The 26901-nt window shown below is 43.9% G+C and overlaps 1 protein-coding gene and 1 pseudogene across 14 annotated transcripts in view, besides 2 other annotated features; one reads left to right on the top strand and one right to left on the bottom strand.

Moving 5' to 3' along the window:
* The window catches only part of CALN1 (calneuron 1), a 724789-nt gene that overhangs the window by 554388 nt on the left and 143500 nt on the right, over window positions 1-26901 (top strand). The gene's annotated exons all lie outside the window — the stretch shown is intronic.
* Window positions 7088-7588: an enhancer, noted in NCBI's record as "H3K4me1 hESC enhancer chr7:71407289-71407789 (GRCh37/hg19 assembly coordinates)". NCBI's record gives its function as "activates a minimal SCP1, AML or CMV promoter by ChIP-STARR-seq in primed H9 embryonic stem cells {active_cell/tissue: H9 hESC(primed)}" and the evidence as "EXISTENCE:reporter gene assay evidence [ECO:0000049][PMID:30033119]".
* RPS28P6 (ribosomal protein S28 pseudogene 6) lies at window positions 7279-7659 on the bottom strand (annotated as a pseudogene).
* Window positions 7589-8089: an enhancer, noted in NCBI's record as "H3K4me1 hESC enhancer chr7:71406788-71407288 (GRCh37/hg19 assembly coordinates)". NCBI's record gives its function as "activates a minimal SCP1, AML or CMV promoter by ChIP-STARR-seq in primed H9 embryonic stem cells {active_cell/tissue: H9 hESC(primed)}" and the evidence as "EXISTENCE:reporter gene assay evidence [ECO:0000049][PMID:30033119]".

The raw sequence follows: 26901 nt of genomic DNA, 5'->3' as shown, positions 1-26901 counted from the left end.
TACTCGGGAGGCTGAGGCAGGAGAATGGCGTGAACCCGGGAGGCGGAGCTTGCAGTGAGCCAAGATCGTGCCACTGCACTCCAGCCTGGGCGACAAAGCGAGACTCCATCTCAAAAAAAAAAGAAAGTACACTCCACAGGTTGGGAGCAGGCCCAGGCATAGGGGCTCGAGAGCCCTGTTACAGAATTTTTTGGGGTTTAAATACCCTCTAAGGCTGGGTTTGGTGGCTCATGCCTGTAAGCTCAGCACTTTGGGAGGCCGGGGTGGGTGAATCACTTGAGGTCAGGAGTTCGAGATCACCCTGGCCAACATGGTGAAACCCCATCTCTACTACAAACAAAAATTAGCCAGGCACAGTGATGCATGCCTGTAATCCCAGCTACTCAGGAGGCTGAGGCAGGAGAATCGCTTGAACCTCAGGGAGAGGTTGCAGTGAGCTGAGATCACACCACTGCACTCCAGTCTGGGCAACAGAGTGAGACTCCATCTCAAACAAACAAACAAAAAACCCTCTCGAGGTTTCCATTGGTTACTTGGTATACGCCTTATGTAAATGAAGAGGATGAAGTAAAGTTACAGTCACTTACTCGACGTACACCCTTTGTAAATGGAGAGGATAGTTCTGTCATAGCTGAAGTGTTTCCATTTGATTTAGCTCTAGGAAGTCCTTATGTTCCCTGTCTCCAAACCCTATTCTCCTGCCTCATAGCCTGTCAGGGATTCGCTTCCTTACTCTGAATGTCCACAATATTTATGGCCATTCTTTCAGTCCAGACCGCACTGTCATAGTGACAAACTGGCAGCATGGAAAACAAATTCTTTTTTTTTTTTTTTTTTTTTTTTTTTTAAGAGACAGAGTCTTGCTGTGTGACTCAGGCTGGAGTGCAGTGGTGCCATCACAGCTCACTGCAGCCTGGAACTCCTGGGCTCAAGTGATCCTCCCACCTTAGCCTCCCAAGTAACTGGGACTACAGGCACATGCTACCATGCCTGGCTATTTTTTAAATTTGTTTGTAAAGACAGGGTCTCACTATGTTGCCCAGGCTGGTGTGGAACTCCTGGGTTCAAGCAGTCATCCCATCTTGGCCTCCAAAAACATTGGGATTGCATGCATGAGCCACTGCACCTGGCTGAAAACAAATTATTATTTTTTTTTTTTTTGAGACAGAGTCTCTCTCTGTCACCCAGGCTGGAGTGCAGTGGCATGATCTTGGCTCACTGCAATCTCTACCTCCTGTGTTCAAGCGATTCTCATGCCTCAGCCTCCCAAGTAGCTAGGATTACAGGCAATGCACCACCATGCCTGGCTAATTTTTTATTTTTAGTAGAGACGGGGATCTCACCGTGTTGGCCAGGCTAGTCTGGAATTCCTGACCTCAGGTGATCCGCCCGCCTCAGCCTCCCAAAGTGCTGGGATTACAGGCATAAGCCAATCGTGCCCGGCCTGAAACCAAATTCTAATGGAGCTCAGTGTCACATGTATGATGACTCTCTCTTAGAAGGCCATGGCTTCCTTGGGTCATGGGAGTAATAGAGAAACTGAGCATTTGGAAGACCCATCAAATCAGCTTTTATTTGCTGATTTGATTTGCTGATCAAAAAGGGACCTTTGCTGCCTGGGCAAGGGAAGAGACTATGTGGTCCTCTTCCCCCCCACTCAGAACAGAGTCCTTGTGGTGGTGCGGCTCCTTCTCTGCTGACATCCACACCTTCCCCAGACCGATTGTGAGTCCTCATAATACAAACATCTTCCTCAGGGGTGCTGGCTCAAGGTACCTTTTCCCTGCATGCACTATCGCCCTTTCGATGAGAAGTCTGGCAGATAATTATCACCTGAACAAAATCTGGGCATCAGTCCCCCAAAAATGCACTGCCCCTCTGTGGATCTTCCTACATACCTGCCTCCCTGGAAAAGAGAAGAAAAAAGCATGTCCACATCTTTCTTTTTTTTTTTTTTGAGACGGAGTCTTGCTCTGTCGCCCAGGCTGGAGTGCAGTGCAACTAGCTCACTGCAACCTCTGCCTCCCAGGTTCAAGTAATTCTCCTTCCTCAGCCTCCCGAGTAGCTGGGATTATAGGCACCAACCACCACAACTGGCTAGTTTTGTATTTTTAATAGAGGCAGGGTTTCACCATGTTGGCCAGGCTGGTCTCGAACTCCTGACCTCAGGTGATCCACCTGCCTGGGGCTCTCAAAGTGCTGGGATTACAGGTGTGAGCCTCCATGCCCGGCAGCAATTTTTAAAAATTGTAACTGCATTATGAGAACAGTATTTCAAGGTGACCCATTTATGTGGAGATTTTTAGAAGAAGAAAAAACCTCCAGTATAATTTTCTTCACTTTTAAGCCCAGTGATATTTTCAGAAATTCAAGACATACCATAGCATAGGAAAAGGGTGTGTCTAGAGAGTCTCTGGCTTCCATGTCTGATCTCATTCTCACTATCAGTATCATATCTTCATTGTACTGGATTTTAACTCAAACTGAAAGATGCCCTCTGATTCTCTGTCCATTTCTGTAAAATTGCCTTAGTTCATGATGTGGTTGCATTGCCTGAGATAATGTACATAAAACTCCCACTGGCGGGGCGCAGTGGCTCAAGCCTGTAATCTCGGCAGTTCGGGAGGCCGAGGTGGGCAGATCGCCTGAGGTCAGGAGTTTGAGACCAGCCTGGGCAACATGATGAAACCCCGTCTCTACTAAAAATACAAAAATTAGCCAGGCGTGGTGGTGGGTGCCTGTAATCCTAGCTACTCGGGAGGCTGTGGCACGAGAATGGCTTGAACCTGGGAGTCAGAGGTTGCATTGAGCCGAAATCACGCCACTTCACTCCAGCCTAGGTGGCAGAGCGAGACTCTGTCTCAAAAAAACAAACAACAACAACAACAAAAACACAACTCCCACCAAACGTGGCTTCTGCATGGTGGTTCATGCCTATAATCCTAGTGCTTTGGGTCAAGGTAGGAAGATTGCTTGAGCCCAGGAGTTCATGAGAAGCCTGGGCAACACAGCAACTCACCTAAAGTTTCAGGTGACTGAAAAACAGCAGTTTCCTTGCCATCACTCACGGCACCGAATTCAAAGTCAGGAAATCCTGATTCCAGACCGTGTCAGGTACCATCCAATGCCTTACAGTTTATTTTCCATCTCAAGGAGGAAAAAAGGCCTTTTCATGCTTGCCTCATGACAGATGTGGGAAAATGATGTATGTGTATGTAACGTTCTTGGCTGTCTAGGCATGGTGGCTCACACCTGTAATCTGAGCATTTTTAGAGGCAAACGCAGGAGGATTGCTTGAGCCCAGGAGTTCAAGACCGGCCTAGGCAATACAGCAAGACTTTGTCTATTAAAAAGAAATTAGCTGAGTCTGTTGGCGTGCACCTGTAGTCCTAGCTACTCGAGAGGCTGAGGCAGGAGGATCACTTGAGCCCCGGAGGTCAAGGCTGCAGTGAGCTATGATTGCACCACTGCACTCCACTCTGGGTGACAGAGCAAGACCCTGTCTCAAAAAAAAAAAAAAAAAAGAAAGAAAGAAATGGAACCCGCTAGATGTAAGGCAACATAAATTTAGGCTACCATTATTATTGTCACTATTTCTATAAGAATTAGATTTTTTTACTCAGGGTCTTGGGAAACAGACAAAAATAGAAATGTATGAAGATATTCTGATTTCCCTCCTTTGGAGAAACTTTTTTTCTTGTTATGTTCTTCAGCTAATTAAAACAAAATGAGCCCAACATCTACCATTTCCCTAAGATCCACAATTTCCAAAAATCCTTTTGGAACTTGAATTGCCTAGCTAATCCACAAAGTCTGCATTTGAGCTTCCACCAGATGCAGTCCCTAAAGCGGCCCTCACCCCATGCCTCTGCTGAGCAGAATTCCGTTCATGGGGAAGTCCTTCAGAAGCCTGCCCAGGTCGTCTCTGCCCTAACTTCTCTGAACTCTGGAGCAGCGGTCCCCAACCTTTTTGGCACCAGGGACCTGTTTTGTGGAAGACAGTTTTTCCACAGACCAGTGAGGAAGGATGGTTTTCAGATAATGCAACCACATTACATTTATTATGTACTTTATTTCTATTATTATTACATTGTAATATATAATGAAATAATTACACAACGTGTAATTACACATCATGTAGAATCAGTGGAAGCCCTGAGCCTGTTTTCCTGCAGCTAGACGATCTCCTCTGGGGGTGATGGGAGACAGTGACAGATCATCAGGCATTAGATTCTCACAAGGAGTGCACAATCTAGATCCCTCGCGTGTGCAGTTTACAATAGGGTTTGAGCACCTATGAGAATCTAATGCTGCTGCTGATCTGACAGGAGGTAGAGTTCAGGCGGCAATGTTTGCTCACCTGCCACTCACCTCCTGCTGTGTAGCCTGGTTCCTAACAGGCCACAGACTGGTGCTGGTCCACAGCCTGGGCGATGAGGAGCCCTGCTCTCGAGCACTGGCACTCTGCAATGCCTATTTCATTCTCATTGGGTTGTGCCTTGTGTTGGTACTTAACTGCGTTGTTTTGTGTATCTTGTTGACTTAATGTCTTAGCCCATTTTGTGTTGCTATAAAGGAATACCCAAAACTGGGTCATTTAGAAAGAAAAGAGGTTTACTTGGCTCCTGGTTCCTGCAGGCTGTACAAGAATCATGGCACCCACATCTGATTGGCTTCTGGTGAGGCCTTGGGAAGCTTTTATTCATGGTGGAAGGGAAGGGGGAGCAGGTACATCACATGGTGAGAGAGAAAGCAAGAGATGCCATGCTCTTTTAAACAGCCAGCTCTCCTTTGAGCTAATAGAGTGAGAACCTACTTATTACTGTGGGGAGGGCCTCAAGACATTCATGAGGGATCCGCCCCTATGACCCATGCCCCTCCCACCAGACCCCACTTCCAGTATTGGGGATCACATTTCAAAATGAGATTTGGAGGGTACAAACATCCAAACTATATCACTTAGCTAGATTTCAGTGTAGTCACCTCTAGGGAAAGACGTACATGTGTTTTCTCCTGCCTCCTAACTCTTCTTCAAGGATGCTGGGAGACTGGTACCACATTGGTAGCCAATTTCTTCATGAGCACAAATTCAAAGATTAGACAGAGGGTAGCAATTGTTTGTAAACATAACAGATTCTTGACTTCGGATGTATTAATTCACTGATTTATAATTAGTAATTGACTCATTAAGCATTTTGATAGCAATTAGTTTTTTAAAGAACAGCTTAGACACAATAGGTAAATTATTACATAAATTCAGAAATGTTTTCTTTCTTTTTTTTTTTTTTTTTTTTTTTGGGATGGAGTTTTACTCTTATTGCCCAGGCTGGAGTGCAATGGCACGATTTCGGCTCACTGCAACCTCTGCCTCCCAGGTTCAAGCGATTCTCCTGCCTCAGCCTCCCAAGTAGCTGGGATTACAGGCATGTGCCACCATGCCCGGCTAATTTTGCATTTTTAGTAAAGACAGGGTTTCACCATGTTGACCAGGTTGGTTTCAAACCTCTGACCTCAGATGATCCACCCACCTCAGCCTCCCAAAGTGCTGGGATTACAGGTGTGAGCCACCACGCCCAGCCATTGTTTTCTTATTTTTTTGTTTTTTAAAATAGAGATGGGGTCCCACCATGTTGCCCAAGTTGATCTTGAACTCCTGGGCTCAAGTGATCCACCTACCTCGGCCTCCCAGAGGGCTCGGATTACAGGCTTGAGCCACTGCACCCTGCCTAGCAGCATTGTTTAACACTACAAAAACCATATAACCACTGAGCTCCTTCTCAGAAGGAAGATGGCGAAAGCTCACTGCTCAACAGTGACTAGATTCATAACCTGGGGCTTTGGTCTGTTTGTTTTAGGCTTAACTCTTGCAGATTTGGGGAATGTCAGGTTCCAAAACTTGAGTTCATTATTCCTGTCAATTCAGGGCACACCCTTACCATAAGCCCATGAAAGACACCTTGTTGGGTTATTTTATTATTTTTTCTTTATCTCCATGCTCACTCCCCATTTTCATCCTGCCTATACATAGATGTCTTTGAAAATAAATATTATTGCCGACTCCAATTTAATTTTCCAAGGTCCTGTTCCAAGCACTTTTATACACATTCTCTTCTTTCATCCTCCCAACAGCACTATGAGAAACATTGTTTTGGCCTGGCCTGGTGGCTCACTCCTGTAATCCCAACACTTTGGGAGTCCGAGGTGGGTGAATGACCTGAGTTCATGAGTTCAAGATCAACCTGGCCAACATGGTGAAGCCCCCATCTCTATTAAAAATAAAAAAAATTAGCCCATGTGATAACACATGCCTGTAGTCTCAGCTACTCGGGAGGCTGAGGCACGAGAATGACTTGAACCCCAGAGGCAGAGGTTGCCATGAGCTGATATCGTGCCACTGTGCTCCAGCCTGGGTGACAGAGTGAGATCCTGTCTCAAAAAAAGAAAAATTCTTTTGTTGTTCCCATTTAACAGAAGAGGAAACAGAGGCATGGATATGTGAAGTAATTTTCCCAAGATCATGCATTTAGCATATGGCAGCGTGAGGACTCGAATCCAGGCTACATAAAACCTGAGCTCTAGCACTCTGCAGTACTGTATCTACTCTATATTTTAAAATATACTGTGTTGTTTCGCGTGTGTGTTTTAAAATGTATTTGAATGTTATTGTGCAACTACTGTGAAACCAGAAAATGTGAGACAGGTCTCAGTTAATTTAGAAAGTTTATTTTGCCAAGGTTGAGGATGCACCCGTGACACAGCCTCAGGAGGTCCTGGCGACATGTGCCCGAGGTGGTTGGGGCATAGCTTGCTTTTATCCATTTAGGGAGACATGAGACACCAATCAATTTATGTAAGAAGTACATTGGTTCGGTCTGGAAAGGTGAGACAACTTGAATCAAAGGCGGAAGATTGGAACGGGGGAAGGGACTTCCAGGTCACAGACAAGTGATACACAAACGGTTACATTCTTTTGAGTTTCTGATTAGCCCTTCCAAAGGAGGCAAATCAGATATGCGTCTATCTCAGTGGGCAGAGAGGGGTGACTTTGAATAGAATGGGAGGCAGGTTTGCCCTAAGCAGTTCCCGGCTTTAGGTTTCCTTAGTGATATTAGTGGCCCAAGATATTTTCCTTTCGTACTACAGATACCCTTCTATATCATACCTTCTTCATTCTACATTATGCTTTTAAGATCTAATCACCTGCTAAAGATATCACTAGTTGATGGATCGCCACAGAGCATTCCATCACATCCATCCATCTCAGCTTACTCTTTCTTTTTAATTTGAAGCACAAATGCTTTAAAGGCGCATCTCAATTCCCGTGTGGCGGGCAAAAAATAAAATATAGGAGCAGATCGTGGCACACCATTCCCACCAGCCAAGTGGTCAAACCCCACATCCAAGACCCAGTGAGCAGCCAAGTTCAGCGCAACTTCCAGGCCTCTTGCTCTGACTCCAACAGGGTGAGCACGTCCCCCTCACACACGGGGCCTTTTACACTGCGGATGCTGGAGCGGCTCGTGTTGTCCATAAATTCCACGCGCACCTGCGTGCAGTGTCCCTGAGAGCCGGTCCTGCCCAGGACCTCGGTGACCCTGGCCAGCTTGATAGGCTGCACGTGGCTGGTGTCCATGACGGCGGCGTGGCGGTCTGGCAGAGTCAGTTGACTGTTCTGTTTTTTGTTTTTCGTTTTTGAGACAGAGACTTGCTCTGTCTCCCAGGCTGGAGTGCAATGATGTGATCTGGGCTCACTGCAACCTTGGCCTCCTGGGTTCAAGCAATTCTTCTGCCTCAGCCTCCGAGTAGCTGGGACTACAGGTGTGCACCACCACGCCCGGCTACTTTTTGTATTTTTAGTAGAGACAGGGTTTCACTATGTTGGCCAGGCTGGTCTGGAACTCCTGACCTCAGATGATCTGCCTACCTCAGCCTCCCAAAGTGCTGGGATTACAGGCGTGAGCTACCGGGCCCAGCCCAGTTGACTTTTTTATGTCCCTAATGAGGGGCAGTCAGAATGTCTCCCAATCCCTAATCCCCAAACATTCTAATAAACATTCTCACTCATGGCCCCTTACATACCTGTGTGAATTTCTCTAGAATATATCATTTGGAATGGGATTGCTGGCATATAAAGTACACACTGCCTGTTAGATTGATTTCTGGCATGATGATGCTAACTAACCCTCTTCCCAGCAGCACAAAAGATTCTTTTTTCTCTAATTTCTCATGAACATTTATCTGACTTTATAATTTTTACCAATTTGATGGTTGTCAAGTGTATACCATTGTTGCTTTTCATTTGCATTTCTCTAAGCATGAATGAAATTGAACCTCTCTTCATAAACTTGGAGGCTGTTGGGTTTACCTTTCTGTGAATTTCTTATTCATATATTTTGTTCATTTTTGATACTGGGTCTGCTGTCTTGTTATCTAGGTACCATCAATTTTAGAGGCTTCAAATATTGCCTTCTCAGTCTTCCCCCCGTCAGTTAACTTCATTTATGGTGTCCTTATTGAACAGAAATTCTTTTTTTTTTTTTTGAGATGCAGTCTCACTCTGTCGCCCAGGCTGGAGTGGAGTGGTGTGATCCAGGCTCACTGCAACCTCCGCCTCCCGGGTTCAAGCAATTCTCCCTGCCTCAGCCTCCCAAGTAGCTGGGATTACAGGCACCTGCCACCACACCCAGCTAATTTTTGTATTTTTTTTAGTAGAGATGGGTTTTCACCATGTTGGCCAGGCTGGTTTTGAGCTCTTGACCTCAGGTGATCCGCCCACCTTGGCCTCCCAAAGTGCTGGGATTACAGTCGTGAGCCACCATGCCTGGCCAGAAATTCATAATATTGATATAATTATATCCACTGATTTTGGGGGGCTTTTATTAAACCTTGGAGTCTTGTTTGGAAAATAATTTCCTTAGACATCGACTGGATATAGTGGAGTAATTTGTATAAAACTAAGCTTCTATAACAAAGAACTATAGGCTGGGTGCAGTGGCTCACGCCTGTAATCTCAGCACCTTGGGAGGCTGAAGCGGGTGGATTGCCTAGCTCAGGAGTTTGAGATCAGCCTGGGCACCATGGCAAAATCCTGTCTCTACCAAAATTACAAAAAATTATCTGGACGTGGTGGTCTGTGTCTGTGGTTTCAGCTACTCGGGAGGCTGAGGTGGGAGGATCGCAGGATCGCTTGAGCCCTGGAGGTGGAGGTTGCAATGAGCTGAGATCATGCCACTACACCAACCCGGCCTGGGTGACAGATTGAGGCCCCCTCTGAAAAAACAAACAAACAAAAAACAGAAGAAGAACTATAAAAACTGAATAGCAAACAACAGAACAGCTGTTTCATGGTATTGGAAAGTAAACAAGACAACTAAGACTTGAGGGTCCAAAAAGTCAGAGAGAAGAGTGCATTGACATAAGCCTGATATTTTCCACAGCATTTTACTCTCAGGAAATTTGCTGTAACAAGTATAAAGGTGGAAGAGAAAGCAGTGGCATTGAGATCGTGGTACTCACTGGGATGAGTCTACAGGATTGGAGTTAATGGCTAGTAAGTCAGCCTGAACTTGAAGGGCTCCATCCCAGAAGAACAGATTGCATGAAATTTCACCTCAAGGCATTCACCAACTCATAAACTGTAAAATACAAGTTCAATACATCTTTGTTTCTAGGTGCTCAAAGCATAAAAAATTAATCAGATTTTTGTCAGTCTCACAGTGCTGAGGAGAAAAAAAGTGGAGATCAGAGCCTGGAAAAAGGGAGGAACCCTGGTAAACTTCCAGGTTTCCAGTTGAGACCCTTGAAGGGATATACCTTTGAAGAGAGGGAAAACTGCAAAACAACAACAATAACAAAGGTTTAGGAGGGGACACAGTTTTTGTGCAGCCTCTATAAGCTGGCTGAAACTGGCTTAAGGTCCGCAGTTGCTTATGTTGTTTGTAAGGCGTATCCTCTGTCCATTGGAGTTGATATGGTCTGGGTTGTAAATCAGCTGGTAACTTCCCTGGTAGCTCCCATTGTTAGGGAGTTTGGCAAGAGTATGGATTTCCTAGTAGCCTGAGGAATTTAGAAATGCACCATGCCAGCCAGGCCCTGACCTCTACCCCTAGGTATCCTCTGTGTCCTTAATGTTAGGGTCTGTCTTAGTTGATATAAAGAGGTGTCTCAGATCACAGTGTGAATCCCAATCCCAGCTCCACCACTTCCAAGCAGTGTATTTAGGCAAATTACCTTTGTTTCTTGCCTCATTTTCCTGTCTAGGGAATGTGGGGTGGAGAGGATGATCATAACTACCATCCGTAAACTTTTTTTTTTTTTTTGAGACAACATCTTGCTCTATAACCCAGGCTGAAGTGCAATGGCACGATCTTGGCTTGCTGCAACCTCTGCCTCCCAGGTTCAAGTAACTCTCCTGCCTCAGCCTCCCAAGTAGCTGTGATTACAGGTGCCCGCCACCATGCCTGGCCAACTTTTTTTTTTTTTTTTTTTGTATTTTTAGTAGAGGTGGGGTTTCACCATGTTGCCCAGGCTGGTCTGGAACTCCTAGTATCAAGTGACCCATCCACCTCGGCCTCCCAAACTGCTGGGATTACAGGCATGAGCCACCACGCCCGGCCACATCCATACACATTAAGTGTATTGAGACTGTGGTCACTGCTGTACTTTGGCACATGTTAAACACGGAATAAGTAGTATCCAGTATCGCAAAAGATATGACCTAGTATTCCTAATTCCTGACCTGATTTTCCCTTGCCTATCATTGTGTTGCAAGAAGCTTAAAATGCATGCTGTCTTTAGTCTGCCCTCTTATTCTTTTATTAGAACATTGCTGAAAAGCTTTGGTTTCCTTGTGTCTTGTTTTCTTCCAGGACTCCATTTTGGATTCATTCATTCATTCATTCAATCATTCAATCATCCTGATGACTGAATGCATTGAATTGATGATGAAGGCATTGACAAGCATTGATTTAGTGCAGATGTTTGTCCGTCTCCTGCTCTTTCAAGCCTCATGGCCCCCTCCTGCTATCCCACCATGGCGCTCTCTGTTCTCAGTGAGTCTGTGGGGTCTGTGTGTGGTTTTTTTGTTCATTTGTTTGTTTTTTCAGACAGAGTTTCGTTCTATCGCCCAGGCTGGAGTGGCGCCATCTCGGCTCACTGCAACCTCTGCCTTCCAGTTTCAAGTGATTCTCCTGCCTCAGGCTCCCGAGTAGCTGTGACTATAGGTGCCTGCCACCACGCCCAGCTAATTTTTGTATTTTTAGTAGAGACGGGGTTTCACCATGTTGGCCAGGCTGGTCTCGAACTCCTGACCTCGTGATCTGCCCACCTCAGCCTCCCAAAATGCTGGGATTACAGGCATGAGCCACCGTGCCCGGCCCTGTGTACGTTTTTATAATGCTCCTCTCAGTTCTTCTTTCCCCCGCCCCACTCTCAGACACACATTATGGCTATAATGTCCTTTATGGGAATCTCTTGGAAGCCCCATTAACTGACCTTTCCCTGATCTTCCTACTGACTTCACTTTATTCATTTGTTGATTTATTTACCCAATGTTTTTTGAGCACCTTCTGTGTTCCAGGTATGATTTCAGTCACTGGGGATAGAGCACCAAATAAGCAAAAAAAAGTCTGTCGTCATTGTATCACAACTTTCTCACTGTCTTTCTGGGCAGGGTAGGCACAGCTATGTGTCCCTATCTGGAAATGATGGCTATGGAATGAAATTTCCACCCCAGGGAAGAATGCAGCCCCCATCTGTATGATATTTCCTGATTATCTCTGTGCCAATCTCTCTGATACTCTTGGGAACTTGCCCATTCTTTGGTAAACTCTTTCTCTTTCTACAAGCCCCAACCCAGATGTTGCGTAAAACGTCAGTCTTTCCCTAACCCTCCCAAGGGACCTCCCTGAGTGCTGCATAAATATCTGTGTTGAATAAATAGTGACAGAGATAAAAATGATGTGGTTCTGGAAAAGGGCAGTCAGATTGGTGAAAGCACAGGCTGCATTTCACTTGGGTGCTGCGTGATGGAACATAGATTGCTTTTTTTATTTTTCCTTAAACAGACCAGGTAGGAAGAAGGTATGGCTACAGCCTTCAAATATTTAAAGAGTTGGCAGGTGCAGTGGCTCATGCCTGTAATCCCATCAGTTTGGGAGGCTGAGGTGGGAGGACTGCTTGAGCCCAGTAGTTTGAGATCAGCCTGGCAACACAGCGAGACCCTATCTCTACAAAAACATTTTAAAATTAGCTGGATGTAATGGTACACACTTGTAGCCCTAACAGCTTAAGAGGCTGAGGTGGGAGGATCCCTTGAGCCTAGGAATGTGAGGCTTCAGTGAGCTATGATTGCACCACCGGACTCCCGTCTGGTCCACAGGGAAAGTTTTATACATATATACCTGCATATATACACGTGAAATTATACATCTATATATATATATATTAGATGTATATACATATACATACATATTTATATGTGTCTGTATATGTAAATACATATATACATATTTATATGTGTATCTACATATATACACACATATAAATACGTATGGGGTTTTTTTTTGGTGTTGTTTTGTTTTGAGACAAAGTTTCACTCTTGTTGCCCAGGCTGGAGTGCAATGGTACGATCTCAGCTCACTGCAACCTCTGTCTCCCGGGTTCAAGCAATTCTCCTGTTCAAGCAGCCTCCCAAGGAGCTGGGTTTACAGGCATGCACCACCATGCCCAGCTACTTTTGTATTTTTAGTAGAGACAGGGTTTCCTACGTGTGATATATAGATTAGAAAGATAGATATTTAAAGAGCTGCCTAATTGTATTAGTCCATTTTCATGCTGTGGATACAGACATACCTGAGACTGGGAAGAAAAAGAGGTTTAATTGGACTTACAGTTCCACATGGCTGGGGAGGCCTCAGAATCATGGCTGGAGATGAAAGGCACTTCTTATATGGTGGCAGCAAGAGAAAATGAGGGAGATACAAAAGCAGAAACTCCTGATAAAACCATCAGATCTCATGAGACTTACTCACTACCACGAGAACAGTATGGGGGAAACTGCCTCCATGGTTCAAATTGTCTCCCTCCAGGCTCTCCGATAACACATGGGAATTATGGGAGCTACAATTCAAGATGAGATTTGGGTGGGGACACAGAGCCAGACCATATGACTAATGGAGTTTGGAAGTGGGGATCAAATTGAAAAAAGCTTTCAGGAGAGTAGATAACAGGGGTTGGGGAAGAATACCTTAGAAACAAGGGCAGTTCAGCAGATGAGACCCAAATACCCACCTTCCAGCCTTTGCTGCAGCCCCATACCAGACAAATGGAATCTTCACGCCCTAGAGCTCAGTGTCCATGTTGACCTCCCCCAGAATTTCCCAGGGGCCTAGAAGATGGTTCCAGTATCATCAGTGGCCCTTCCAGCTTGGTGTACAGTGCCAGAGGAGTGAAGCAAGGCTCTACGCTCATCTTTTTTTTTTTTTTTTTTTTTGAGACTGAGTCTCGCTCAGTCGCCCAGGCGCCTGCCACTACACCCAGCTAATTTTTTGTATTTTTAGTAGAGATGGGGTTTCACCTTGTTAGCCAGCATGGTCTCAATCTCCTGACCTCGTGATCCACCCGTCTCAGCCTCCCAAAGTGCTGGGATTGCAGGCGTGAGCCACCGCGCCCAGTCCACTCATCTATTTTTAAGCAGTAGATTTATGTAGCCATGCCGAAGAGGCCCTGAGAAGCTGTTTATTATGAAATCAAACTTGTGGTTTCTGGAAACTTTTTTCTAACTCAGCAGGTGATGCCATTAGAGTTCTGACATGGCTTCTGGTCATGCAGAGAAGAACTTCCAGGGTATTATTTTAAGAACATCCCAAATGCTCTGCACAACTTCACCCAGGACACCTGGGAGTCTCTACTACACTGACAGGTCAACACTCCCTCCTTGCCTGCACTGCCAAAATGAGGTTACAGAAAAAGCTTTAGCTAAAAGCAAAAGCTGCAGAAGGTACATGTAACCTGTAGATTGCATTTTGTGGTCAAGCATCCCGCAACCTCAAGACTACCATTGGGCAGATGGGTGTCTTCATTTCACTCACAGCTGAAAGATGGAAAATGAAAAGCAGTGCCCTGGCAGTACAGGAGGAGGGATGTTTTTTGTTTTTTGTTTCTGTTTTTTGAGACGGAGTTTCGCTCTTGTTGCCCAGGCGGAGTGCAAGGGTGCGATCTCCGCTCACCGCAACTTCTCCTCCCGGGTTCAAGCGATTCTCCTTCCTCAGCCTCCAGAATAGCTGGAATTACAGGCATGCGCCAACCACGCCTAGCTAATTTGGTATTTTTAGTAGAGACAGGGTTTCACCATGTTGGCCAGCCTGGTCTCGAACTCCTGACCTCAGGTGATCCGCCCGCCTCGGCCTCCCAAACTGCTGGGATTGAAACACCGCACCTGGCCTAGAGGGATGCCTTTTAATGAATCCATCTACCACTGCTAATTCACTCTGCAGACAGTCTCATTCCTGGCAGAAAGACCTCCCATTTTTTCCTTCCTAGGGCCAGAAGCACTTTTTCCTTCTTTCACTTGTTTAACCCACTGCTATCCTGCACCCTGCTTGCTGTCTGCTCTGGGAAGAGCTGAAACAACTCCTTTGCCAGATTCACACCAATGTTAGCAGCCTTCTGTCTAGTTCGTCTTCAGTAAAGCCTCATCATTGCCTTGGCCTGGACCCCTCAAGCTTTTTCATCTACTCTAGATCCTTAGACAACAACATCTACACCAGTGCTACAGTTTGGATATGTGTCCCCTCCAAATCTCATATGGAAAGGTGACCCTGATATGGTTTGGCTGTTTGCCCACCCAAATCTCATCTTGAATTATAGCTCCCATAATTTCCATGTGTTGTTGGAGGGACCTGGTGGGAGGTAATTGAATCATGGGGGTGGGTCTTTACTGTGCTGTTCTCGTATTAGTGAATAAGTGCTACAAGATCTGATGGTTTTATAAACAGGAGTTCTCCTGCACAAGTTCTCTCTCTTCTCTGCCACCATGTAATATGTGACTTGCTCCTCCTTGCCTTCCACCATGATTGCGAGGTCTCCCCAGCCATGTGGAACTGGGAGTCCATTAAACCTCTTTTTCTTTATAAATTACCCAGCCTTGGGTATGTCTTTATTAGCAACATGAGAACAGACTAATACAACCCTCAGTGTTGGAGGTGGGGCCTGGTGGGAGGTGTTTGGGTCATAGGGACAGATCCCTCATGAATGGCTTGGTGCCCTCCCCATGGTAATGAGTGAGTTCTCGTTCTGTTAGTTCATTCAAGAGCTGGTTGCTTAAAAAGAGCCTGGCATCTCTCTTGCTCCCTTTCTTGTCACGTGGCACACCTGTTCCCCCTTTGCCTTCTACCATGAGTAAAAGCTTCCTGAGGTCTCACCAGAAGCCAAGTAGATACAGGCACCATGCTTGTACATCCTGCAGAACCATGAGCCAAGTAAACCTCTTTTCTTTATAAATTACCCAGCCTCAGGTATTCCTTATACAATGCAAAATAGACTAAGATAATCAGTGACTATACCAGTGACTTCACACATCCCATAAGTACTAACAATCTTCCACAGTTTTCTCTATTCCACTTAACAGAACACCTTCAGATATGGGATCTAAGAAAGAACAATTCTCATTGAATATTATCTTTCTTTGAGAATTCACAATCTTTTGAGGTGTCGGGAGAACTATTTTAGCTAGAAGTTGCATGAGCCAGTTCCAGCCTGCAGCCCTCTTTTGTCTGGCAAATATAAGTCACATTTAAAAAAATTTGATATCAGCATTTTCAAATAGGGAGCTTCAATGCAAAAACTCAGATTGGCTGTTCTGTAAAGAGTGAACCTACATTCCCATATGGCAGCCCCCGACTGAAGCTGCTTCCTTTGCACGTACATACATTTGAGGTTTCCTTGATCTTTGCCACCCCTTTTGTGTTGCAGTCATCCCATGTCACTCACTCACGTCACCTGCCTGGCCCTGGTGTTGATAATCCCTTGACCCTGCTAAGGCCAATAATTATCAATACTGCTCCGAACCTAGCACAGCAGGACCGTGTGACTTATGATACCTTATGTTAAAGTCTCTCCGCATAAAATAACTTACATTCTCACTGGGAGATAAGCTAAGATTTATATAGAGAATTAATTCTAGAACATAAAAACCTAGAAATGCACATTTCGTTAAGCTTCTACTGACTGCCTGGCACCAAGGATTCAGAGGTGAGTAAGACAAAGTGCCTGCCCACACAAAATTGTGACTTGATGAGTGTTAAGCAAAGCAACCATTTCTTTTACGATGTTGAAGCGGTGTGGTTGTCTAGGGTAAATACCCAGGGCTCATCATCTTGCGCCAAGAAAATTTAGGACATGGACACACATGAGGAGTTTAGGAGCGGAGGTTTAATAGGCAAAAGAAAGAGAAAGGAGAACAGCTCCCTCTCTAGTGAGAGGGGCTTCCGAAAGGAAAGACCAGCCGGCGGCGGCGTTCACCAGATTTTATAAGCAGGCTTGAGGAGGCAGTGTCTTCTTTATGTAGGACCCACAGATTGGTTCCATCAGGTGTGACATTTACGTACCACGCAGGGAAGCCTGGCCACCTCACCCTACTCTTATTATGCAAATGGGTTTCCCACTTAACTGGCGCCATCTTGTCTTCTTACTGTACATACGGCTGGCAAAGAGGAGGGAAGATGGGGCCACCATTTTGGACATGCCTAGTCCCAGGTAGCTTTTTTCTTGATGGCATTCACCCATGCAAGCTTCTAGCTTGCATGTCTATGTCTGTAGCTCGATTTTGCAGGCTGCTCTTTGTTAGAATATGATTTGGGGGCTGCTTTTCGTTAAAAAGGGAGACCTTACCAAGGACTCCTGTACCCTCACTATCTGCCTAAGTAGTTTCTTCTTAACTCCTACATCAATGTGACATGCGCCCTATCTGGAATTGTCAAAAGTAGTGATTATGAATGGGGAGAAGCGTATCAGAATAAAAATCTTCCCATACCCCCCTAGATTCTAACATACACTTCTCTTTTTTTTTTTTTTTTTGAGATGGAGTATCGCTCTGTCACCCAGGCTGGAGTGCAGTGATGCGATCTCGGCTCACTGTAAGCTCCGCCTCCCGGGTTCATGCCATTCTCCTGCCTCAGCCTCCCGAGTAGCTGGACTACAGGTGCCCGCCACCACGCCCAGCTAATTTTTTTTTTGTATTTTTAGTAGAGACGGGGTTTCACCGTGTTAGCCAGGATGGTCTTGATCTCCTGACGTTGTGATCCGCCCGCCTCGGCCTCCGAAAGTTCTGGGATTACAGGCGTGAGCCACCCTGCCCGGCACATATACTTCTTATAGTCAAGTTGTAGACAAAAGATTCAAGTTAATATAGTTTAAACCATTTTACCACCAGGCACGATAGCTCATGCTTGTAACCACAGCACTTTGGGAGGCCGAGGCAGGAGGATCACTTCAGACCAGGAGTTCAAGACCAGCCTAGACAACATAGTGAGACCTCATCTCTATGAAAAATAGCTGGGCATGGTGGTGTGTGCCTGTAGTCCCAGCTACTCAGGAGGTTAAGGTGGGAAGATCGCTTCAGCGCAAGAGTTGGGGGTTGCAGTGAGCTATGATCACTGTACTCCAGCCTGGGTGACAGAGAAATGACATAAATAAATAAATAAAACATTTATTAGGGGTCTTGGGTCACAGCATTGTTGGAAGGTCTTAGTTTCCCAGAACCACTCTCCAAAGCACACTGACAACCTGGGACTCCAAGGCGGCTACCTCCAGTGGCACAACAGAAAAGCTGGTGATTCAGTGAGCCGTTTGCTGAATCCAGAAGCTACCACCTTAATTGCCAGTTCCAGAATCACACCAGCAGTGTCATCATTCACACTGGCAAACTGCATGCCAACTGCCCTGATTCTCTGCTCATGTGTCTCACTTCCAAATCAAGGTTTGATGTAAAGTGTGCTAGGCTGGCAGACCCCTTGCTGCAAAGAAGTCTAAGAAATGAGTTTTGGGCTCCTCTACACTTTGGGAAGACAAATCAGAAGAATGATTATTGATTAAGATAATCTGTAATTCCTGCCACCGTAAGCCTCCCATCATCACCCTCCTCAAAGAGAATCCCTGTCTAACTATCCACAGTTATGACTGGGATTGCACTGTATCCCTCAGTAGCAACGGCTTTGAAAGAAAGGGTTAGAACTACTGACCTACTACCATGTCGTGAAATTACAGTCCATCAGCCAAATCTAACTCACTACCTGTTTTCGTAGGGCCCAAGAAAACCATGGTTTTCAGCTGGGCGCGGTGGCGCATGCTTGTAATTCCAGCACTTTGGGAGGCCAAAGTAGGCCGATCACTTGAGCTCAGGAGTTCAAGAACAGCCTGGGCAACGTGGTGAAACCCCGTCTCTACTAAAAATACAAAAATCGACTGGGTGTTGTGGCACATGCCTGTAATCCCAGCTACTCCAGAGGCTGAGGCAAAGAGAATCACTTGAAGCCAGGAGACGGAGGTTGCAGTGAGCCGAGATCACTCCACTGCACTCTAGCCTGGGTGACAGAGTGAGACTCCATCTCAAACAAAAAAAAAAGAGAATGGTTTTCACAGATGAACATATGCTACCAATTTGATGATAGGAAGAACTAACTTTAAATCCCAATTAAGCAAAATGTTATCCCCTCTAAAAAAAGAATTCAGTTTTTCTTATTCATGTACCCACATTTCAAAAAGAAAAACCTCTATTATTATTTGTTAATTTCATCAATACAAGTATTTTTGGAAATTTGTTTTCTCTCTTATTAAGTACCTCCACAGTTTCCTTGATTTTTCCTTCTGGCACACAAAGCCTAAATATTTGTAATCTGTCGCTTTGCCAGAAAAAAAAGTTTGCAGACCTCTGTCTAGAAACATGTACGGTGTTATAAAAGTACCAAAAGGGACATCTAAATTAGACAAAGAAGTCAGAGAAGACTTTGGCATGGGTTATGCTGCACTTGAAAAGCAATTAAGCATTTTAAAGATGGAGAAGAGAAGGGAAGGAGTTTCGAGACCCAGAAAACAGCATGTGAGAAGCGCAGAAGAGTTTCTGGAACTGGGACACCAGAATACACACACGCGAGAGAATGAAGTTGGACTGCTTCATTACACCAAACACAACAATTAACTCAAAATGGATCAAAGACCTAAATTCCAGATCTGAAACGATAAAACTCTTAGAAGTAAATATAGGAGCAAATGTTCATAAAGCACAAGGGACCAAAGATAAAATAGGCAAATTGGACTTCATCAAAATTAAAAAGTGTATTAAAAATTTAAAAAGACACTATCAAGAAGCTAAAAAGACAACTCACACCATGGGGTGCATATATTTGCAAATCATATAGCTTTATAAAGGGCTTGTGTCTAGAATGTATAAAGAACTCTTTCAATGATAGAAAGACAACATACAGAAAGGATGGACAAACGATCTAAAAAATACAGTTTTCCTAAGAAGATACACAAAAGGCCAGTAATCACATGAAAAGGTGTTCGACATTATGTCTTTAAGGAAACGCAAATCAAAGCCATAATGAGTCACCACACCATCCTGCTAGGATGGCTATATTGAAAAAGACAGATACCAGTAAGTACAGTTGGCACTCTGTATCCGTGGGTTCTGCATCTGTGGATTCAAATAACTATAGGTCAAAAATAGCCTGGGAAAAAAATTGTGTCTGTCCAAAACATGTACAGATTTTTTTCTTTAGTCACTATTCCCTAAACCATACAATATAACAACTATTTACATAACATTTACATTGCATTCGGTATTGTAAGTAATCTAGAGGTGATTTAAAGTATACAGGAACATGTGCGTAGGTTATATGCAAATACGACATCATTTTATATAAGATGCTTGAGCAGCCGTGGATTTTGGTATCCATGAGATGTCCTGAAACCAATTCCCACAGATACCGAGGGACAGCTGTACTAAAAAGGATGTGGAAAAATTGGAACCCTCATCCATTGCTGCTGTGAATGCAAATTGTGCAGCCAATTGGGAAGACAGTCTGGCATCCCTCAAACGGCTGAACAATTACCATATACTCCATCAATTTCACTCCTGGGTAATACTGAGAAATAAAAACATACATCCACAAAAACCATATACAAGAATATTCATAGCTGCATTGTTCACAATAGCCAAAAAGTGGACATAACCCAAATGTCCTTCAGCTGATGAATAAACAAAAGTGGCATATCCATACAATGGAATATTATTTATCAATAAAAAGAAATGATTCACAATAGCAAGGACGTGGAATCAACCTACATGCCCATCAATGGTAGACTGGATAAAGAAAATGTGGTACATATACACCATGGAATACAATGCAACCATAAAAAGGAATGAGATCATGTCCTTTGCAGAGGCATGGATGAAGCTGGAAGCCATTATCCTCAGCAAACTAATGCAAGAACAGAAAACCAAATACCAGTACTGCATGTTCTCACTTGTAAGTGGGAGCTGAATGATGAGAACACATGGAAACATCAAGGGGAGCAACACACACTGGGGCCTGTCAGAGGGTGGGGAGTGGGAGGAGGGAGGGCATCAGGAAGAATAGCTAATGGATTCTGGGCTGAATATCTAGGTGATGGGATGATCTGAGGTAAACCACCATGGCACGTGTTTAACTATGTAACAAACCTGCACATCCTGCACATGTACCCTTGAACTTAAAAGTTGGAAAAATAAATATTAAAAAAATGAAATTCTGTTACATGCTACAATGTGAATAAAACATTATGCTAAGTGGAAGTAGCCAGACCCAAAAGGTCACATATCATATAATTCCATTTACATGACACATCAAAAATCGGTGAATCCATTGAATCAGAAAGCAGGGAAGTGGGTCCCTGGTAGGAGAGCAGCAGGGGTTGCTGGCGGGTTTGGGGGTGGGGGGTAGGTGAAAATCAAGAATATTTCTTTTTTTTTTGTATTTTTGTATTTTTAGTAGAGGCGGGGTTTCGCCACGTTGGCTGGTCTGGAGCTCCTGACCTCAAGTGATCTGCCCACCTCAGCCTCCCAAAATGGTGATATTATAGGCATGAGCCACTGCGCCAGGCCTAGAATATTTCTTTTTGCGGCGATAAAAGTGTTCTAAGATCAGTTGTAGAATCTGTTGTTGTGATGATGGCATAACTCTGTGACTCTACAAAAAACCATTGACTTGTATACTTTAAGCGAAAGATATGGTATGTGAACTATTACATTGGTGCAAAAGTAATTGCATTTTTTGACATTAAAAGTAATGGCATTCTGTATCCACGGGTTCTGCATCCATGGATTCAAATAACCGTGGATCAAAAATATTCGGGGTAAAATTGTGTCTGTACAAAACACGGACAGACCTTTTTTTTTTTTTTTTGCCATTAAAAGTAATGGCAAACCTCTCAGAGAATTGAAGCCCCAGGGCAATTGGGTGGCCTGAAGTCAATGGAAAGATAGGCATTCCCAAGGAGAGATTGGACACAACCATTGAGTCATCTATGGGAAACCAAGGAGGTAGAGATGCCAGGTGCCATACAGTGGGAGAGAATCATTCAGTGAAATTTTTAAACAAATTTCTGAAGTCGTGGGGTGGACTTGCATGAGAATATAGGCTTGCGCCCACTTACAGGGTATTCTCCATGGACCTCCGTTGTGCACTCACAAGAAAGATTGGTGATGGGGCAGGAGGTGAGAGAAAGCCCTCCTCCATATTGAAGACAGAGAGGAGATGAGTGTCACTTCTGTGGCAAAGCACAGATTCTCACCAAGGTCAGTCCTCTAAGGATCAAAAGCCTTAGGATGCTGGAGAAGGGGAGCAAACCTTGTGGTCACTAGGACACAGGTAAAGACCATTGCAGCAAGGAAGCAGAAAGAAAAGGGAAAAGTCTTCCATTCCTGGGTGTTTGACCCAGGCCATTAAAGATCTCCTACCACTGGGGGAAGAGCAAGAAACTCTCCCGTTCACAAGGGCCACCAAAGATTCAAGACATCATTTGGCTGCTACAGAGAGGAGGATCAGAATTACAGAGAAAACCTGATCTGCAAGACTTAGGGACACAGGGCCTTCCTAAGACCAAGGCTGGACTAGGAAAACAGAGACCTGTCTTCTCCTATACACCACTACTAGACCAGCAGGCATCAAGTAACAGTAGCAATCTATCACTGAGAGAAGAGGAAGAGCATAAAAAAGGGACCTTCTCTGAGGTACAGACACACAGAGAAAGACAAAAGCTAAGGGATAAACAGGAATATTAGAAACAGCTTACATGCAACACATACCCCATCCAAAGAACTAGATTACATTAAAAACATTTGAGGCTGGGCACAGTGGCTCATGCTTGTAATCCCAGCACTTTGGAAGGCTGAGGCGGGTGGATCACCTGACGTCAGTAGTTCAAGACCAGCCTGGCCAACATGGTGAAACCCCATCTGTATTGAAAATAGAAAAATTAGCCAGGCATGGTGGTGCACGCCTGTGGTCTCAGCTACTCAGGAGGCTGAGGCAGGAGAATCACTTGAGTCCAGGAGGCAGAGGTTGCAGTGAGCTGAGATTGCACCACTGCACTCCAGCCTGGGCAACAGAGTGAGACTCTGTCTCAAAAAAACACATACAAAAAATTTGAGACTGGTAGTATACTGAAGGTAACCATAGCAACAACAAAGGCTAAACCCAGATCAATTCCAGTAGACTCTTCTTTATGTTGGCAGACCAAGCAAAAGTACTGTTTACTTTATTCTCTACTATCATACCTCACAGTGTTCATGTGCAATAAAAAGTTACAAGACAAATAAAAATGCAAGACAGAACAACTCACTGTCAAGAGTCAAAGTAATCAACAGAACCAGACTCAAAGATGACAAAGACGTTTGAACTCTCGGGAAATTTAAAATACCTACGATTAATATATTAAAGGCTCTTATGGAAAAAGTAGGCAATATGCATGGTGGAGAATTTCAACAGAAGTTATAAGAAAGAGTCTAAAGAAAATCTTAGAAATAAAAAATACAATAACAGAGATGAAAAATGACTTTGATGGACTTATCACTGGACTTAACACAGCCAAAGAAAAAATTTATGAACTTAAAGGTGAATCAATAGAAATTGACCAAATGAAACACAAAGAGGTAAAAAGAATAAATTTTAAAAAATATAGAGCATCCAAGATCAACGGGCTAATATCAGATAGTCTGAAATTTGTACAATTGGAATGCCAGAAGGATTAGAAAGAGATAGGGACAGACAACCTACTTGAAGAGATAATAGCAGAACACTATCTACAAATAATATAAGACATCAAATCACAGATCCAAGATGCTCAGAGAACCCTGTAACAGAATGGGTCTAATCAGCAGAACAAGCATGGATAGGGTTTGCTCTCCAATAGGCCTATTGGAGATGGTATGTTCCGATGACTGGGTAGTGGAGAAGCTCATTGGTTTGATCAGAAAAGATCTGGTCTGGAGTTGCTGGGCAAGCAATAGGTAACTTTCTGGAGTGCTGGCTGTGAAGCAGTATGCAGTGGGAATCTGGATGATGGCAGGGGCAAAGGCTTTCAGTGCTGAAGGAGCAAGCTTGGGTATCTGGAGACTTGCGAAATGCTCATCGGGGACACATGGAGCTGTGTGCAGGCTGTGGTGGTTAGGGGGTTGGGGAGAGGAGGAAGCTTGCTTAGGGAGCCCGAGCATGTGGGGAGTTAGCTTCTGTGTTGAGAGGGCTGCAGAAAGATTATTGCCAAACTGAGGCTTCAAGGCCACAGAGGGACCACGATCTGAGTTGTGACAGTTGTCCTCAAAACTACACCACCTTAGCCAGGCATGGCGGCAGGTGCCTGTACTCCCAGCTACTCGGGAAGCTGAGGCAGGAGAATCATTTAAACCCAGGAGGCAGAGGTTGCAGTTAGCTGAGATTGCGCCACTGCACTCCAGCCTGGGCCGCAGAGAGAGACTCCGTTTCAAACAACAACAAACTGCACCACTGACCCCTCTTGGATGACACCAGGAATTGCAGAATGCCTCTTTCTCCAGTTTGGCTTCAGCACCCTCTACCGAGAAAGCTCAACATCCTGCTGACTTTAAAGGAGAAATGCTCAAAGGGATTCCATTGCTTCTCACACTTTATTGTATTGCCTGTATTGGAAGATGCATTCAGAGCTGAGAGGCAATAAATGGATAACTGATGCAAACCCAATCTGTCAACCCAGAAGTCTATATTTTTAAAATTAAAGGAAAATATTTTAAAAATGAATTATTTTTAAAATTAAAGGAAAATATTTTTTAAAACTAAAGACAAATAATGACTTTCCAGACCAAACAACAACCAAAAAAAAAAACCAAAAAAACCCAAAAAATAGGAGGGGGGTTTTGAGAACACATTAGCAGCAGACCTTTACTATAAAAAATAGTGAAGGACATTCTTAAAGCAGAACAATTATGATAATGGGAGAAACTTAACATCTTCATAAAGAATAAGAATTTCTAGGAATAGTTGAAAGGCAAATCAATATAAATCAATCTTTCTTCTTTCTTTTCTTTTCTTTTCTTGCTTGCTTGCTTGCTTGCTTTTCTTTGTCTCTCTCTCTCTCTCCCCCTCAGAGTCTCACTGTGTTGCCCAGACTGTAGTACAGTGGCACAATCTCAGCTCACTGCAGCCTCCACCTTCCAGGTTCAAGCGATCCTCCTGCTTCAGCTTCCCGAGTAGCTAGGATTACAAGCATGTGCCACCATGCCCAGCTAATTTTTGTGTTTTTAGTAGAGACAGGGTTTCACCATGTTGGTCAGGCTGCTCTCAAACTCCTGACCTCAAGTAGTCTGCCCACCTCGGCCTCCCAAAGTGCTGGGATTAAAGGCGTGAGCCACTGCACCCGGCCAAATTTATTTCATTGTAAATCTAAAGGTTGATTTTATTTTAAATCAATTTCTATTGATTCACCCTAAAAATAATTGATCCTTTAAAGCAATTATTTAAAGCAATTAATAGTTTTAAGACATAATGTATTTGTAGCACATGTCAAAGTTAAATGATTGACAACAATAGAACAAAAGATTGGAGAGAAAAAAATCAGGAGAATACTGTTTTCAGGCTCTTATGTGTAATGAGCATTGTATTATTTGAAGATAGACATCATAGTCAAACCACTGAAAACCAAAGGTAAACAGATATCATGAAGGCAGATAGAGTAAAAAAAAAATACAGAGAAAAACAGATTAAGGTACAGCTATTTAAAAACAAGGAATTAGGAACACAAACCTCAGATATTGTTTTATCTGAGATAGCATGGATTGGAAAGACCCCATCTATAACTTCAAGCGTATTGGGTGTGTTCTGGTTCTTCAGATGGATAAGAATTTCATAGGTGTTTTATTTATTATGATCATTGCCTTGAAAGTAATATATAAACATTCTTTTGTATATATTAAGTATTATATTAAAAATGTAAAGGTTAATTTTATACCTCTCGCCAAGGAAATATATTCTATATCTGGAAAGGCTGGTCTGAAGTGCAGAGGTGGGTTCCACCAGTCACTGCAAAAAGATCTGAAATCCTAATCTTTTTTAAAAAGATCTGAAATCCTAATCTTTTTTAAAAAGATCTGAAATCCTAATCCTAATCTTTTTTTTTTTTTTTTTTTTTGAGACTGAGTTTCACTCTTGTCGCCTAGGCTGGAGTGAAATGGCGCAATTTCGGCTCACTGCAACCTTCGCCTCCTGGGTTCAAGCGATTCTCCTGCGTCAGCCCCGCGAGTAGCTGGGATTACAGGTGGCCGCCACCATGCCTGGCTAATTTTTGTATTTTTAGTTCAGACGGGGTTTCACCATGTTGGCCAGGATGGTCTTGAACTCCTGACCTCAAGTGATCCACCCATGTTGGCCTCCCAAAGTGCTGGAATTACAAGTGTGAGCCACTATGCCCAGCCCTGAAATCCTAATCTTGGACTGCAAACTTCTGGTTGCAGAGCCTTCAAAGGCCATGCTAACATGGGTGACATTTTAAAAATCAAATGTTAGTGGGGGCCACAGGGAGGGGAACACTGTGGTCTATTGTGGTGCTCTAAAAAAGTGCATCTGTGTCTAGCTGTCTCCAGGAAGGATATGAGCATCCTTAGGAGGGCACTTTCTGACTTTTTGTAAATTCTGAAAATTACATGAGAATGTTATCCCTGCTCCAGGTCATTGCTCTAAATCTTCCTGGCACCCAGGAAAAACAATAAACTAGCTCTTTATTTAAATTAGGTAATCACAAGAATGCACCGGGAAAACAGGAAAGTGCTGGCTGCAGATGGAATTGGTTTAATGAAAGATTTGGAATAATAGAGTGAGACTCCTGTCTGGACCTTGCTTGAATGACATACTATTGAGGTTAATTGGATGAATCACAAATGTTTTCTTCCCCCTTTAATCACAAGTGCATAGGGGAGCCACCATTTCCCAAATAAAATGCATTCTTCCTTCAAGCTAGCTAGTTCTCCTTTGAAGCCGTTGATTATATCTGTGTTTTTATAGGGCCTGGCAGAACCAAACAGCCAAATGAAAGCAAGCATCAACAGAGCACAGAAGTAATCATTCTGAGGTTGGCTGTAGGCTTTTTCTGTCAGAAAGAACAAATGAGCATAAAGGGTGCCTTCTCTACATTGCGTGGTGTAAAGTCCACTTTGAAGCTACTCACTTGTTTACCAACAAAGAACAGCAGCCAGGGCTGGGCCAAAAATAAATTTTGAGTACCCAAAATTACCCATTTCTTAGGCCTGGAAATTAAGAGGTTGTTTGGATGTGCTGGCTGTATAGTATAGTATAGTATAGAATAGTATAGTATAGTATAGTATAGTGTAGTTAGATA

Source organism: Homo sapiens, chromosome 7 (assembly GCF_000001405.40).
Source record: "Homo sapiens chromosome 7, GRCh38.p14 Primary Assembly".
Taxonomy (NCBI): Eukaryota; Metazoa; Chordata; class Mammalia; order Primates; family Hominidae; genus Homo; species Homo sapiens.
This window is presented reverse-complemented; position numbering and strand designations above follow the sequence as displayed.